The sequence below is a fragment of the Homo sapiens genome, chromosome 1 (assembly GCF_000001405.40).
Source record: "Homo sapiens chromosome 1, GRCh38.p14 Primary Assembly".
In the NCBI taxonomy this organism is placed as follows: Eukaryota; Metazoa; Chordata; class Mammalia; order Primates; family Hominidae; genus Homo; species Homo sapiens.
Genome location: NC_000001.11, coordinates 148,158,721 through 148,176,439, shown reverse-complemented (window position 1 = coordinate 148,176,439; position 17,719 = coordinate 148,158,721). Strand labels below are relative to the sequence as shown.

Genomic DNA, 17,719 nt, shown 5'->3' with positions numbered 1-17,719 from the left:
CTTCTACTAAAAGTTTTTGTTTTTTAGCACTTTCCCTGAATCTCAGGTGTGAGTGCAGTAAAGGTGTTGGCTGAAGGGGGATGGAAACAAACGTTAATTACACCTTCAAGATTTCTCCAGTCAGAGTTTGGTCCTTCTTCTGGTAGGTGGTAAACTCTCTTCAGTTATATGGCCCTGAAAATCCTTGAAGCTCCATATATTGAAGGGATAATGGGCCAATATGTGAACAGCATCTCACCACTCATCTTGTGATGTGCTTGGCAAACAAGCTCACAGCGACAGGGGCTCAGGATTTTCGGAATTCTATCTGCTCTGCAGATTGGAGCCCGACTCCAAAGAGGCATTGATAGGGGGAGCTGATGCAGAGATGACTGCGTGACATGATAGCCGAGATACTGGACAATTCACTGTGTACTGTCCATTTAAATGAAAGGTTAGAGTTAAGAGCAGACACTGCCAGTGCTACCAAGGGATAATTTTTTGTATGCACGTGTGCTCATGTGTTTATATGCTTTTAGCTTTCTTTTTGATAGTAAATATAGGAAAAGACCTTTCAAAGACTATACATGCTAAGTTTCTGAGAGGGAAGAACTATCATTAAAAGCATAAAACATCACATTATATTTGAGTTCAGTAACCTGAAGTTCAGCAAGTTTTCCACAGTCTCAGGTTTCCTAACAAGAAACAATGCACGTGTCTACTTCTGTACTTTCATAACACTTTATTCTGTGCTACAGAATAAAGTATTTTAACACCCCTTTATCTCTCTCCTTTATGCACAGTGTGCATAAAGATGAGAACATCATGAACCAAGATGAGGCAGAACGACAGCACAGGGGTGGTTTCCATTTCAAGCTAGCTGTTTTCTGCATCCTCCCACCTCCTTCAAGAGTTGCATGCTTGATTGAATTAACTAATACCAGTTGTGCTTTACATATTTGAGTTAAAATATATGTGTTACATGTCAACATTGTGCTAAAATGTATTACTGATTTTTTTATTAACAAGCACTGCTTTAATTTAGTACTGAAGAAAGTCTATGTTTATTGGACAGCAATTTTATACCTGTGTATGAATACCTGAGTATGTAGAAGAATCAGATATGTGATTAGCTAAACTTCCAAAGTTGATAGAAACTAGGTGATTATTTAAATTGCACAAAACCCTGTATTTTACTTAAATTTCTATAAAAGTAATAATGTCTTACATTTGCTTAGTGAGAAATGCTTTGCAGATGCCTTTGACATATATTATCTCCTTTGTTCCTCTCAAAATTCTTATGAACTAAGGAGAGAGTGACTATTGTCTGCATGTTTTATGGATAAGAAAAAGAGAAAGCATCCTTAGCACATTTGAAATGTATTACCTTTACAAAAAGGTAATTCATCATCACCTCTTTAGAAAGCACAATTCAATGTGGAAAGTAGGCCTACCTCTGTTTACTCTATGCATGTATAGTTAGTGTCCTGGTTATCTCTTGCTATGTAACAGATTATCCTAAAACTTACTGGCTTAAAACATCATTTTATTATGTCTCACTATTTTTTTGGTCAATAGTTTGAATAGGGCTCAGCTGGGTGATTCCTTTGTTCCATGTGGAGTCAGCAGAGATAACTTGATGATACCCAGCTGCCAAATGAGCTGGTCTGGAGATTCCAGATGGCTTCATTTACAAATTTAGTGATGGGGATGGCTGAAAAGCTGGTCTTGGCTGGGACTGGCAACTAGAGTGCCTACATGTAGCCTTTCCAACATGATATTAGGGTAGTCAGGGACTCAGTGTTCCAAGAGAACTTAAGTGGAAGTTGTTGGTTCTTAAGGCCTGGATCCAACAACTGGCCCAGCATCACTGCTGCCGTTTTCTGTTGATCAAAGCAAGTCATGGAGCCCACCCAGATTTGAGGGGAGGGAATATCTGCCCTACCTCTTAATGGAAGGGTATCAGAGAATTTGTAGCAACCTTTAATCTGTCACAGTGCACATTTTGGCCATTGATTATGTTCCTTGCCTATGGGAAAATACATTCACCCTTTCTAAAACCCCTAGACTCTCAACTCCTGATGGCATCAGAACACAGGCAGCATCAAGATCAGGCTCAAGATGCAGGATTTTATCATCCAAATCAGGCCCACATATGGATGAAACCCTTCAGGTATGTTTCTTCAAGTATGGTTCCTCTCGACCTGTGGACTAAAGAAACACATTATTTGCTCCTCCATCCCCAAAACACAATGTCGAGATGAAGGTAAGAAAAATGCAGTTGGCATTCTCATTCAAAAATAGAATGAAAAGCAAAGAGCAGTCCCTAGTCTGTAGTATTTCTGAAATCTTACTGGTCACATGTCCACATTCTTTTATTACATCTCAGTCCTGCTTCCTAGGAATTACATAGTAATATGACAAAATAATATAACTAATTATTTAACTACAATAAACATTTCATTTCTAAGCTCACCTTTTTCTATACAGTATTATACATGCATAAAACAAATCATTTGGCACTTCTGGCATTCCTATCAGAGATCCAAACCCAGCCAAATCCATCAGTTCATTAGGTATATATTCTATTGTCTAGATCACAACAGGCAACAGTATTGTCAAAATTTCTGCCACTTCATAACCAGGGTCACTTTTTCTCCAGCCTCCAATAGTAATTCCTGTAGTATCTTCCTCTAAGTATTCACTAGAAGTCTCCTTCAGGTTTTTCTATTCTCATTAACAGTGTCCTCAAGATCTTTGCAGCGTTTGCTCATTGTCTGGTTCCAAAACCATGGCCACATGTTTTAGATAGTTATGGCAGCACTCCACTTCCAGGTATCAAATTCTGTTCTTATTATCTACTGCAGCATAGCAAATTACTCCAAAACTTAGTGGCTAAAAATAACAATCATTTTATTATATCAGGACCTTGTTGCTTGGGCATTTGGGCATGCCTCTGCTGGGTGATTCTTCCGCTCCATTTCAAATTGACTGAGGACACTCAATGGTTTTCAGCTGGTGGGTCGGCTTGTCAGGAGGGTCAGGATGGCTTTCCTCACATGACTGCCACTGGCTAGAAAGTGGGGTTCAGCTGGGCTTGTTGTCTGGAGTGTCTACACATGGCCTCTCTAGTAGGGTGGCTTTAGGGTAGTAGAACTTCTTACATAGTGACTAAGTGTTTCCAGAGAGAGTGTTCCAAGAGACAGAAAGTGAAAGCTACCAGTTTCATAAGGTGTAGACTTGGAATCTGGGCTGGCTTCACTTTTGCTATGGCTTTACTGGCCAAACAGCCACAGAGACCACCCAGATTCAAGGCCATGGGATGTAGACCCTATTTCTCTGTGGGAACAGTGAAAAATTTTTAGTATGAAAGAAAAATAATGTTTAGTTTTTCATCTTGAATTGCCTACTAGTGCTTACAAGGCTGACTGACTCAATGAACTAATTCAGGTTTAGGAATTACACATTCGAGCTTCTGGTTCCATATCTCCCATTGCTTGGCTGCACTTGAACTGAGGTAAATAACCTTTAGGCTTTAATTTATATCATAGGCAAAACGGAGATGATGATAACTGTTGGCACCTACTGGTTCAGGGAGATGTTGTGCCTCTTTTTATTTTTTTTTAAATCAGTATTTAAAAAGTATTCTCTAAAGTGCTCTAGGAAGTAGAATAATAAATTGCCGTGACAAATTGGACCATTACAAATTCACCACATATGTTTTTATTAAGATAGAAAATTGGGTCTCAATATTGTGTAACATCAACAGGGATATGTAGGAACTCTAGTACTCACAGAAGTCTCACACCCCACACACACCAACCTGTGCCATAGCATACGCTTCCTCCATGTTTCATGTATGGCAGGCAATGTATGTTTTCTCACTGAATCTTTGCCACACTTTTTGGAGAGTTAGGTGCCATTATTAACATGTTAATCATGTTTTCTGAAACATTTTTTTTTTCCTGGAGTTTAAATTCTAACACATCTTTTGCATATTTATACATAATGCATCTTTAAAGAATCTAATGAAACCTTTAGTAGAGTCTGTAGGGGTTTTGTTTAAATTCTGTGGAAATCATCCCTTTTTATTTTTATACAAATATTCTTGCAAAATGAGATAAAAGCAGATTTATGAAGATATCAAGATGATATAACAAAGATGAGATACAAAATAAAAGCAGAGGCATTAGCAGGAGCTAGTTTTACTCATGGAAGCCAGAAGGAGGATGGGGTGGTTGATACTGTGGGAGGAGAGATGGGCTGGGAGCCAGGGCATCTGGCCCTGCTGTGCCATTAGATAGGAGCTAGGTATGCAACCTCAGAAAGCTTATTTCCTCCTCTAGGCCAAAGTTTTCTTCTGTGTCATATGACAGTATTAAACTAGATTAACTCTAAAGCCATTGCAACCTTAATATTCTTTTATTATTCCAAGTAAAGGGGATGAAACACTAAATCAACATTTCCAGGCATTAAGAAGGTGATTTGCAAAAACATTTCATTTATTCTTTCAACAAGTCTTTGTTGAGACTCCTATGTGCCAGGCCTTATTCTAGGTATTTAGGGGTACAGCAGTTAATAAAAACTCCCTTCCCTCATGGAGCTTACATTCCAGGTTGGGGGATACAGACAATAAATAATCTAAGTAAGTCAAACATATGATATGTTAGACAATCATAAGTGCTTAGCGGAAGATAAAGTAAGGAAGGTGGGTAGAGCATGCTGGGTGGGGTTTGCAACATCAAGTAGGCTAGTCTTGGAAGACTTCACTAGTAAAGATCTGAAGGAAGATGTGAGCCATAATGACTTTGCTTCCAGTTCATGGAGAGAATGAAAGCATTTTCAGGGAGAGGAAACAGCAAATGTAAAGGTGCTGACATCGAAGCATGTCTTATATTCTCAAAAAATAACAAGGAAACCAGTATAGCTGGAGTGGATGGAATAAATGAGGAGCAGGGTACCAGGAGGCATGAGAGAAGACTCTGGGGAGATGTTGAGGAGAGAGTGCCATTTGGCATGTTTTAATGAAATAACTTTATTGCTTCATTAAAACAGTGTAGAGAATAGACTAGAAAAGGTCAAAGACGGAAAGAGGAGAACAGTTAGGAGGCTACTGCACTAATCCAGGCAAAAGATGATGGTGGCTCAGACTATAACGGCAGCAGTAGAAGCAATGAGAAGTGATGGGATTCTTGATGTGTTGTGAATGTAAAACCAATAGGATTTTTTGTATGTTTAGAATGGGGGTATGAAAAAAGAGGACTCAAGGAAACTGCAAGGAGTTTTGACTTGAACTAAGAGTTGCTACTTGCTGAGATGGGGAAGACTGTGGGAGATGCAGTTTTTGTGATGCTGCTGTAGGCTATTAGGAGTTTAGTTTAGACATGTCAACTATTAGATGCCTGTTAGGTATCCATTCCATGCATGTATCATGTCTTATAAAGACATGAGTGTGAGTTTCAGGGGAGAGAGCCAGGCTGGAAGTACCAATTTATTACAGCTCTGAGATTGGATGAGCTTCCCAATGGAGTAAACATAGATTAAAAAAAAAAAAAGGTTCAAGGACTGAGCCTGGGGAGTAAAACTGCAGAGATGAGAAGAAGCATCGAGGGAAACAAAAAGAAGTGACTAGACAAGTAGTAATAAAACTGAACAAGCAGAGAGTCTGGAAGCTCAGTGGAGGAAAAAAAGTGTTTCAAAGAGGAGAGAGTGATTGTGTCCAATGCTACTGATTGTTTGCATAAAATGAGGACTGAGAAATGACCACTGGCTTAGCAAAGTAGGAGTTTTGGTACCTTGATCAGAGCAGTGTCTGTAGAGAGGTGCAGGTGAAAGTCTGATTAGAGTGAGGTCTAGAGAGAACAAAAGGAAAGAAATTGGAGACAGGGGATATGGACACTCTTTCAAAGAGTGTTGCTATTAAGGAAGTGTGAGAAAGGGGAATCGCTAGTAGGAATTGGAGTAAAGAGAGTCTTTTAAAAAATATGAGAAAACAAGATGTTTGAATGTTGGTGAGAGTGATCAAATAGAGAAAAAACAGGCAAAGTAGAAGAAATAAAAGAAAATCACTGGAACAGCGTCCTTCAATAGATGAGTAAAATAAGATCTAGCAGCAAGCTAAGGGGTTGATTTTGACTAGAAGCATGGCTAGGAGGAAAAGTTGAGCAGATGGGCACACATGCAGGAGAAAAGGAGGTGGTGCTGGAGGCTGAGTGCAGTTTCTTTTGATTGCTGTTATTTTCTCAGTGAACTAGGAAGCAAAATAATCAGCTTGGAGTGAGGATGACAGGGGCATTTAGAGGTTTGAGAAGGGAGGAGTAGGCATGAAACAGTTTTCAGGGGAGTAGGAAAGTTAATGGACTACGGAAATATTGTATGTTTGCTGGAGAGTATTAAGGACGTAACTGAGGTCAATACAGAACTCTTTGGTCTTCCAAAGTCATCTATGGCCAGTCCTTTTCAAACTGGTGTTCTTAGAGCAGGATATTCCTTGCAGCACTGAGAGGAGATGAAAGCCTGGAAGTGAATAAATGTCCTAAGATGCAACTGTTGTAACATAGCCACTTCTTCTAGAACACCACCAATATTTCCTTGGGAAATATTGAGATTTCTTTCCCTAACTCCTTTCTTCCTTTCTTTTCTGGTCCTCTTCCTTATTTGTGCTAAGATACAGCTAGAGTGGTCGTTTATGGGTTTCAGGGAGCAGATCCACTTCCTGTACCTGATGGGTTTGTTTTACTGTTGTATTGGATAGCTTTTTCTATGTTATACTCTGGTAACAAACAATCACCATTTCTCAGTGGCTTACAACCATCTGGATTTATTTCTCTCTCTTGTTACAGGTTGGCTGTAGGTCAGTTGCAGCTCTACATATCTTCATTCTGAAATTGAGTCCCTATTTAGGTCATGCCATTCTTTGGGCAGAGGGAGAAGAGCAATTGTGGAGCCACAAGATGGCTCTCAGTTTCCACTGGGAAGTGGTAATTGTCACTTTTGCTCACATTTCAATGGCCAAAGCAAGTCACATGACCAAGCTTGATGTCAATGGGATGGGAAATTATAAGCTTCTTTTAGGGAGGAGAACTCATAATTTGGAACAATCATATAATTAGCTGCAACTTTTTCCATGTGTGGCAGTAAAAAATCATCCTCAAGCAAGACAGTGGGGCAAATTACCTCTTCCTAACCATGATCAGCATTGAGCCCTCAGGAGTAACCCCAAAGTGACTTGACATTTGGTATGAATTTCTGGGTGCAATTTTATGTCTGGCCCTGTGGGCTAGATTATTTAGCTTTAGAATTTAGAAGCTGTCTTACCTTCAGGGAGGCAGTTCATGTATTTAATCACATACATTTTAGGTATTATAATAATAAAAGCAGCTATGCTAAATTTTACAAAATACATCTTATAAGCTGGAAGACAGAGGCCCATCCAGATCTGTCTTTGGAGACTTTCTTAAGTTCTACATACTCAAGATCAATTTTATGATAATATAAATACAATAGGAGAAAGAGCTCTGCTTGCAACTCAGTAATAAAAAATTCAGAGATGATAGGAAATTCCATATCTATTCTTGGCCTAGCAGGAGGAATTTTGTAGCTTGAGAAGGAGCTGGGATATTTCTCTAAGACACTGTGTAACCAAGTCTCAGGCCCATGATTCACCACTTCTTCTTCTTTGGTGCTCTGCAAAATGCCATGGGTTGTTCTGAGTGATTGCCTCACCGTGGCATGATAGACATGAGAACTCAAGACGAGCAATGAAAGTATCATGATTGACACAAATTCCAAGTATGTTGGCTTAACTATTTTCATGTTTGTTCTGTTAACACAGAAGAGACCAGGTTCTGCTGCTGTGTGTTCTTTAGTTGCATTTTAGTGAGACTTTTCCTCTCCCTTTATGAATATAGGATTCTGACAGCTGACAAATGACATTCCAAGAACTTAGCCAGAGCCCAGATTGTGCCCTGCTGTGGGAATTTCTCCTCATAGATTTGTCCAACAACTCTGCTCTGGAGAAAATGCTCAGGTGATGCATTCCCAGTGGTAGCTCAGTTCCCATCAACTCACCACTGGTGCCTGCATTAGGATGTTTTTCTTTCTTCAGGTATTTGTTTTCAGTCCATCTTCACCTCCCACCACAGTGAATTTACTGTCCGTGAAAGGGACTGGGTAGCTCTCCCCTGAGACTACCCTGGGTTTATTTTTAGCACAGGCAGTTTGGAAAAATTACTTTCCCTTGCTGACTGCACCAGGACTCTCTTAACTCTGACACAGAATTCTGGACCTTTCACATTGGATTGAGAATGAGTGGGTAATCCATGCCTTCACTTTAGAGATGGAGGAATCACATTACAACGGGGATAAAAAATTTGCCACAAGTTACCCAGACACTCAATTGAAAGAGCTTTTCTTTGATCTGTTGGTCTCAGATTTATAAGATGTTTAACAGTGTAAAAATTGCAAGTTAGTCTGACTAAATTGGACAGATTGCAGGTAAAAGCCCCGCTCCCTAAATCCCAATTGATCCCCTGAGCCATTTGTACTACCTAAAAGTGGTATTATTACTTTCAAGCTACATGCTCAAAAATTATTTCCCTTGGGAACACACACCTAACCCAAACAAAAAGATTACTACTTTTTTTCTACTCATTCAATACCCTTTGTCCCAGCTATCTTGTTTCTTTCTTCCTATGTCTCATTCAACATTATATTCACATGCTATGATCTCCCCAGACCCCTGCAGACTATTAGGTTGAACCACATGAAATTGCCAATATTCAGCTGGTTTTGACCAATAAAGGTGGTGATTTCATATAATTCAAGCAAACCCTATTAGAATGAGGTAGCAAATTGTGGAAGTTCTCATGCAGAACAATGCAAGTTATTGACCAAATCAACTACGGCTCCATACATGGAATCGAGTTGGATGTGTATCCAGGCTCTAATACAATCTGTTGTAAAATGCAGGCTAATTAGCATATTAAATGAGAATTTAATACTTGGAATATTAAAAGGGAATTTCAACTTCTGATAGGGAAAAAATGTATAACTGATGTGCACTCATGTATGTTAATATGCCAAGATTCTCTGTGTGCAACGGCTGTGACCACTACTCAGCATACGCAACTTGCTCAGGCCTTTGAAAACCAACTCTTTACATACTTTCTCTCCCCCACCACCCCCAACTTCCTCACTCTCTTTCTCTGTCTCTAGTCTCTCATAGTCAGACTTCTGAAAAGAGCAGTCTACACTCACTTTTCTACATTCTCTTTCTTATTCATCCTGTAGCTCACTGTAATCTGGTTTCTGTTCCCAACACTCCACTAAAATAGTTTCTGCCAAGGTCACTAATGAACTTTGATTGACAAATTCAACAGAAATGCTTCTGTCTTTATCTTTCTTAACTTCCCTGTTGCATTTGACAGATGTGCCAAGATTTCCTTCTTAGTATTTCATCTCTTTCTCTGACTTGCATGATCTGCCTTTCTTTTGATTTACAGATATTTTCCCAAACCAGATTTTCAGCCTTTTGAGGGCATAGGATTTGTGTCTTATTCAGCTGTGTATCCCAGGGCCTAGTTTAGTATAGCCTCTGCAAGGTGCTTATCTATATTTGTTGAATGAATGAGAAACAATGAATTAGCGAAATGACAGCACTTTGTTAATTATTAGTCATTGCAAATATTTAGTTTCTCTTTGGTTTAATCCCTATGTCTAGCAACTTCTCTACCTGACTCACTGCCATGCATAATTTTAATAATGTATAGCTGGCAGGGTGCCACATTCTTCATGTTTTCGTCTGAGAAATCCTACTTGATAGTTGGAGGCAAGGCAGTTGAGACTGAAATCCCTACTGGTTCCTTTTCACATGGCTTCCTCTAATTCTGAGCAGTTATAATATGCTGGGCTATCACTCATGAATTTTAGTAACTCCTAACTCCTAGGAAAAAAGATCTCTGTGTCCTTTTTTTCTTTTCCTCCCAAAAATGTGTCATTTTGAGATCCAATAAAGTGTGTCCAGCAAAAGGCCACTTGTTGCTTGCTTAACATATGACCTGAAAAACGGGGGATAAAACCTAACACAAGACTCAAGGATAACAAAAGAAACATGCCAATAGAAAATGCAATACACACACACACACACAATTTATGCAAGTTTAATTTCTGTTGTTTTGGTTGGAAAAGAGCTGCAGGTGTCCTCTAATTATAACCCCATTTTCACAAATATCAACTGTCATATTTAATCTGTTATATTCACCATATAGCCTACTGTTGCAGCACATTTCTTTCATTACAAATTTAGTAGCAGAGTTTCAAATGCTCAAACTAACATTCAGGCTAGTCAATTAATGCATTATTTACAAGTTAAATGTTATTAAAAACAGGTTCTTAATTTGCTAATGATTTACTAGACCCAAAGCAATATTCCAATTTTTTGTTGTTGTTGTAGTGTTTGAAAATGGAAGAACATTTAGAACAGTTGGGATGGGAGAGATGTCAGGGATACTTTGGCCTTTCTCATCCATTTCTGAATTTCTTTTCTGCATTCTTCCTTCTTGTGTGCTGTGTTTGATGCCTATATTAACCAGTTGCAGCATGGTTGAGAAGAAAGACTTATGAAAAACAAGACCAGCATAAATACTATTGTGAGGAGTGTTTTAAAAAATCACTGGGCAGTTTGGAATGACTAAATACACATGTTCCCCATACAATTTAGCATATTTTGATTTACAGTCCCATTCCAGCAGCACAACAGGTTAAGAAGTTTAGAAGTCCAGGAAATTAAATGTTATTGGCATTCCACTGTTGTCAGACTGCACACACTGAATATATGTCTCTTCAAATACACTTTGAAAGAGTTTAGAGTTTCTAAGGTTCTAGGGCCTCAGAATCATCCCAACAATCTGGATTTTCTTCTTTCTTTTAGTTTTCTTCCTCTTTTTTCTTTAACCTAGATCATGTTCTAAATCCATACCTTTCATGTTCCATAATTCCATGGCACACTACTTATTTATGAAAGATAATATGGGGGGTTGAGCTCTTTGATGAAAAATAATTCAGGTTCCATGAAGCCAGTTACCTCATCTTCATGCCTTTCTCTCCAGCTGTTTCCTTGGCCTAGAGGAATCCATTTTCTCCTCCCCACTTTTCTCTTAAAAATTTTAAAAAACCTAATTTTCTTAATAAAATCTTGTTAAATTTAAATGTAGCTCACAACAGTCATTCACTTCTCTGAATTCTATTTTTTTATATTATTATATCATATAAATTTAAAGTATACAACATGATGTTTTGATATACGTATGTATAGTGAAATGATTACTACAGTCAAGCAAGTTAACATATTCACCATCTCACATAGTTACCTTTCTTTTTTTACAGTACAAGTACCTAAAATCTACTATCTTAGCAAATTTCCAGTGTGCAATATAATATTATTGACCATGGTCCTCATGTTGCACATTGCGTTCTCTGAATTCTTATAACTCTTCACAAGAAAGTGTCATGTAGTCACTCACTTAAATTTATATTGCCTTTTATTTTCCTTACATGTAATTGTTTCTCTATAGGACAAGCTATAGAGTCAGAAAGATCTGCTATGAATTGATGGTGTTACCTAGGCCAAGCTATTTCTTTTCCCCAAGTCTCAACTTTTCTCATCTCTTAAATGGAAATAAAAACTCATATTGACTAGTTGTAAGAACTGGTGAGAGCATGCATGTGAAGAACCTGGTTAAATTGTAGCTGCCTGATACATGGCAGCTCCTGTTGCCATAATGAAATAAGACAATATATATAATTTGCCAGGTACAGTCCCTGGCTCATGTTTGGTACTCAATAAAATTTAATTCCCTTTGATACAATGAATAAGTCACAAGCATTTCTTGTTTTCATTTTCACTCAGAGTAAAGTTTTCTCAAGGGCAAAGACTAATTTTTTTTTCAAACTTTTCAGTTTGTGTGAATTAATGTTCCATCTTCTGTATTTTGGGAGGTATTCTGCACATCTCTCAGGAAACCCAGATGAAATTGAGTGCCTGCTGCCCACATCAGCAACCCAGGTAAGGCACTTTTTTGTTGGTTCTTCTTTGTTTCTCTTCTTACTCTCCCTGTTCTCTCCAATCCTCGGATCACCTTCTAAATACACTACTGGTATCCAAACCTTTGTCTCAAGCTCTACTATTGGAGGAACCCAAACTAAGTAAGGAAAAGATTCAAATGACAGAGAAAGACAATAGTGTACAAAATAGCAGAAGAACTTTCAGAGCTGTCCAAGGCAGCTAAGACAGGAAAATGTCAATGGAATAAGACAAAAATAGAATTCATTCATTCACTTATAAAAAAAAAAGGTACTTATTGAGCACCTAGTATGTACTGAACATTCTTAGGCCTTAGGGATATGGTAGTGATCAAAACTGGCAAGACATTTACATTGTAGTGAGGGAACATGCAATGAACAAGCAAATCAACATGCAAAATCATATCAGGGAGTGAGAAGAGCTTTGACAGTAAATGGCATAGTAAGAGACTGTGTGCAGGAAAGGTAGCTATTTTAGACAGTGTGATCTATTTAGAGTGAATAAAGGCCTACCTGGGAGGGTGATACTGGAACAGAAACTTGGTCAACGTGAGAATGACCCACCTTTTGTCCAATGACTATCTTCTCCTGAAGTGCAAGCAGAAAAAATCATGTGTGCTAGCCTGGGTATGGATAATAAGACAGGATCAAAATGCTGCTAGTTAGAAAAATGGGATGCACATATTTCTCAGTGTCCAATCTTTCAGACTGAGTGCTGGGCTACTCCAAAATGGACCTTAGGACCGGATATATGCCTACAGCTCATGGGTAAGGCCTTTCTGTAGCAATACCTGGGGGGATTTCATCATTTTATCCTTCATTAAAAAAAAAAAAAATCTTTTCTCCTGTCTTTCTTGTTCAGGGCATCTTTTTCTTCAATTTCTCAGATGAAAAGAATGCCTTTATTTAAATAAGACTTTAGGGCATATGCAGCGCATACTTTATCTCATTTGATTCCCACACAACTTTGTCCATTAAGTATTTTTATTATTTTTTATAGATGAGGAAACTGGGACTTGGGGGCTTTGCTTGAGAGAGCTGGGACACAAACTGAGTCTTTTGGCTTCAAGTCCATGATTCATTTCAATGCTGAGTCCACTGGCCCCTTAACCAATCTTCATCATTTTCCTGCTACCCCCATTGATGGCAACAGGATTTTATAAGCTGATGATCTTCACCTACAGGATCCCATTCCTCTGATGTTTCATCAGCGGGGACAGGATCAGGTTTCAGTAAATCTAGAAGATTAAAACTGGAAAGTCTGAGGATAATTCTATCAAGAGATCCTGTGTATTTAATGTTCTAACTTAGTCCACGTGCTGTACTTGATAGTATTTTCTCAGTGCCACATTAAGATAACAAGGATTTTCTTAAATGTAATATTTACCTTTAAGTATGTACTAAGGTGGCTGATTCTTAATGCTCCTCCTTTTGAGAAAACTTAAAGGTGAAATTGAACATAATTGCTCCTGATCCATTTCACTCCACCTAGTGGGCCTTTTGTTTGTTTTTCTTCCAAGACATCCCACTTGATTCTGCTTCTGGAGCCTAAGATGGGAAAATGGCAGGTGTCGCAGGTTGCAGGGGAAGGTCGGAGACCAGTTGAGGGCCCCGGAGTCTGTCTGGAAAGAGTTTTCCATCCAGCCCGTCTCGGTTTCCGCATCCGTGTGAGTCCTTTATGACGTCGGGAATGCCAAGGTCTGAGTCCTTTATGATGTTCAGGGTGCCCCGGTCTCACCCCGGGAGCCTCCTCGCTCCGGCCTGCTCCTGGCTACCCGGTGGGCGGCTCTGGCCCCAGCGACCCGCTACTGTTTCTCCATGCGCTGCCACTTCGCAAAGGCACATCTCTAGGTCAGTGGTCAGCTGCAGCCAGGGCGCTGCAACTCGCTCCAGGACTCGGGAATCAGGGCCTTGGTGGGCCTCGCAGAGTGCTGGGTGTGTCGCCTGCGGGCTCCTCTTTTGGAGAAAGGAGGGAGGGAAAGGCCTTGTGAGACGACTCCAGGAGCGACCAGCGACCCCCACAAGGCCCAAGTCCTCCCAGCGCACTCAGAAACAGTCACTTAAATGGCAATAAGGTTGAGAAAGACTCTCCCGTGCCCCCGTGCTGGTGTAGTGGCTGTGATTCAGTCCTTTCACCACCGCATCCCGGGTTCGATTACCGGTCAGGGAGTTGTTTTGCACTGACTGCCCACCCGCAGTAATCTTTCTTTACTCCGCTGTCAGCCGGCCTGCTCCAAGAGCCAGAGGCAGAAGAGTCTCCCTGCAAGGTGCAAACCCTGGCGAAGGAGGGCAAGTCCTGGTGGACGGCCTCTCATGACACACCCTCTTATTTATCTCCGTGTCCACCATTCGCAGAAGGGGCTTTAGAGAGCGACTGAGCGTCTCGCTCAGGTGTACACCACCGTGCAGAGATGGCAGCTCTCCTGGAGGTGTACCCAAGAAGCCCACCATCTTTGCCGCCTCCGCCATCCCAGAGGCGCCGATTGGGCTGAGCTGCAAATAACTAAGAGAGAGAGAGGCCAAGCCAAGTCGTGGCGTTTGTGTGCGGCACACGTCGTCAGCTGACACAGGCGGTCAGCTGAGCCTCCTCACCTCAGTTCGCAGCTAACATGCTTCTTAGGCCTTCGGAAGAGGCGACAGGAGGCGATGGCCGCGAGGTTGGGAGGGGGGTGAGCGGCGGGTGAGGTCCTCCAGGACCGCCCATTTATTGACTGGGTGGTACAGGAGGGCGATGTTCGCTTACCCAACAACGACAGCAGGTGGAGTAGGCACTAATGGAAAACTGTGGCCGGTGCCCTAAGCAGAAGGCAGGTGTAAAAATCACTAGGACATCAAAGGGATAGTACCACAGTCAAATCCCGCAATGTCTGTCTACACTCTACCAAGCAATTGTGCACCCTCCCCCTTTTCCATTCAGTACTCCCAAGAAGGGTTGGGACGAACCCTGTGTCCACTGTAAAGCTCAGGGGAGAGCGGGAGCGAGGGAGGTGAAGTGCACAGACTGGGCAGAGGCGGCGGGCAGAACTGCGGGGGTGAGAGGGCGCGGTGGCTGCGGGGCGGGAGCCTCTGCTGAAAGGAGGCCTGGGTTGTCCTGTGGGTGACTGTTGGTGGAATCTTTGGCAGCGAGTGGTTGGAAGAATGGCGACGGGCGAGCAGAGGGGAAGGTGGTGACCCTGAGCGTCTGGCTAGGGGAGAGGAGGCTGTACTGACACTCGTCTCCTCTTACCTGGCGAGGGACAGACCGTGGTCAAGAAGGGAGCTCTCCCTGGTTGAGGCTAGTCCACCACACTCCAGCTGCTCTGACCCCTGCGATTTCCCTACACGCGGGGCGCTTGTCTGCGGTGGTGTTTGCGCTACCCGGGGGCTGGGTTCACGCAGGCTCCTGACAGTCCTTGGCTCACCGCCCCCGACGCGGATATCGCCGCTAGAGACCCTTCCGCCACCCTCCTAGGGATCTTGAGGGCCTTCCTTGTTGTTCCGACTGAAGCTCACGAACAGACAGATGTGAGCTCTCTGTCTTTTACACGTTGAATTTGGCTATTGGCAAAAAAAGCCCTGACCCAGAGCTTGGGACTCCTCCCGGCCTGCACACGACTTCCCGACTCTTGCCTCCTAGCGCGGCTCTTGGCTAGCGGGCGGGCAGCCTCCACCCAGCGTAGAACCGCGGCAGCCGCAGCCCCCGCAGGCTGGCGGTCAGACACTAGCAGGAAAAGGGACACAAGGCCTGCGTGGTGGGAAAGCATGGGAGACGTCGCTTTCCCACCAGGCGAGAAGGTCTCCCTACAGTCTTTGGACAGAAGATGGAGGGAGGCACCCCTTCCAGGAGCAAGGCGGCTGCTCCTGAGGCCTGGCTCCGCACGGAGGCTCCTGGGTCCCGCGCGCCCTCTCCCTACCGGTTATAGCCAGAGCTGCTTCACACATCTCAGCCGGCTTCCTCTTCCGCCTCTGCCACCTCTTCCTCCCCAGCTCGTGGGAAAGACCTAGCCTCCTCTCCAACACTTGGAGAGGGAGTTGGATGAACGTCTCCTAACCCCAGTAGGACAGAGATCCTGAGGTAGGAGGGGACCCCTTGCCTTGCTGCTTCTTTTGGCACCGCTGACCCGGGCCCAGGACTCCTCGCTCCTCCTGGAAGGCCTGGGTCGTGTAGCCCACAGAGGTGGCCACGTGGGCATCTCCCCCACTGCTCCTCATAGAACCGGAGGCATTATCCTGCCGGGCCCACTCTTACCCATGAAAGAAACTTGGGAAATGCTCCCGGGGAAGCCGGGGATCTGGGCGCTCGACCACTTCGGTGTGAATCTTCCGTCCGCTCATCCTTCCTTCGGAGGGTCTTGGGGAGAGGAGAAATGCTCAAGGACGATGCGCTTTGCAGCGTCTCAAGGGAAACTAGATCTCAACGGATACCAGAAGTCTGGAGCGTCTTCCTGGAGGAAGGCGGCCCGAGGCCTGCGGTTGCAGGGAGGCTTGCGGAGCACAGCGCCCTCTCTCAGCCTGAGCTATCCAGTGGCTTCCAGCATCCCAGCTGGCCGACTCCACTTCCTCTCTCTTCCTCCTACTGCGGGTCTTCTTCTTCTCTTTGGGGACCGAATCTCGCTCTGTCGCCCAGGCTGGAGTGCAGTGGCGCGATCTCGGCTTACTGCAACCTCCGCCTCCCGGGTTGAAGCGATTCTCCTGCCTCAGCCTCCCGAATAGCTGGGACTACAGGCGCGTGCCACCACGCCCGGCTAATTTTTTGTATTTTTAGTTGAGACGGGGTTTCACCCTGTTAGCCAGGATGGTCTCGATCTCCTGGCCTCTTGATCCGCCCGCCTCGGCCTCCCAAAGTGCTGGGATTACAGGCGTGAGCCTCCGCGCCCGGCCTACTGCGGCTCTTCTATCCTGGTGTTCTTTGAATGCCTATCTTCCTTTTGTGCCACAGAACCTCTCACGCCCGCCACAGGTTGCTCATTTCCTTGGTTGTTCTGAACTTTAAATAAGTTAATGTATGTAAGAGTGCCATAAATGCTCAGTAATTGACATCTGTTATTTTCATCAGTAACATCATCTGAATCATCTGTATTGTCTATTTTTAACAACTGCATTTTTCATTGTCCAAATAAAGTCACATACATTTGAACATTATATAATGATTGAATAATAAAATTATTCTGCTATTTTACAATAAAAATTAATGTTGCAGAGAGTATTCTTACACATATATCTTGGCAGAGGTAAGCCAGAGCCTGTTCTTGTATCCATCCTGTGGCCAACCTATCAATGTAGACACCTTTAATGAGATTTTGCCAGCAATGGAAGCCTTCAGGAAAAATGTCCCTAGCTCCTTACTACTTCCTATCAAGGACACGGGACAATTGGCACAACATCCTGGAATAGCTGAAACGGAGATTTTATTCTCCGCTCTCCTCTGTTGTCTTTGTCTTTTTACAACTTCTTAATGACAGTGCTGGTGACAAGAGTGTAACTATGTCACTGTTCTCCTGCTGTCCTTGCCTGTGTGGGTCTTCTCACAAACCCGACTTTCCTCCAGCGGCTTCACTGAAAAACAGAAGGGGGCTGCCTGGGGGAGTGGGGCGGGGAGGGGAGGAGGAAATAACTTGAATAGGGCGGAAGCTTCTCACAGGCCAGGAGAGGGTAAGGAAGGGAGTCAAGGACAGAATTT

At 42.7% G+C, this 17,719-nt stretch overlaps 1 long non-coding RNA gene across 1 annotated transcript; it reads right to left on the bottom strand.

Moving 5' to 3' along the window:
• Positions 1–13,026: 13,026 nt before the first annotated feature.
• Positions 13,027–13,730, bottom strand: LINC02805 (long intergenic non-protein coding RNA 2805). The gene is made up of 2 exons (NR_135559.1): positions 13,448–13,730; positions 13,027–13,298 (listed from the first exon to the last, which is right to left on the bottom strand). It is a non-coding gene; the product is annotated as a long intergenic non-protein coding RNA 2805 (long non-coding RNA).
• Positions 13,731–17,719: the final 3,989 nt, after the last annotated feature.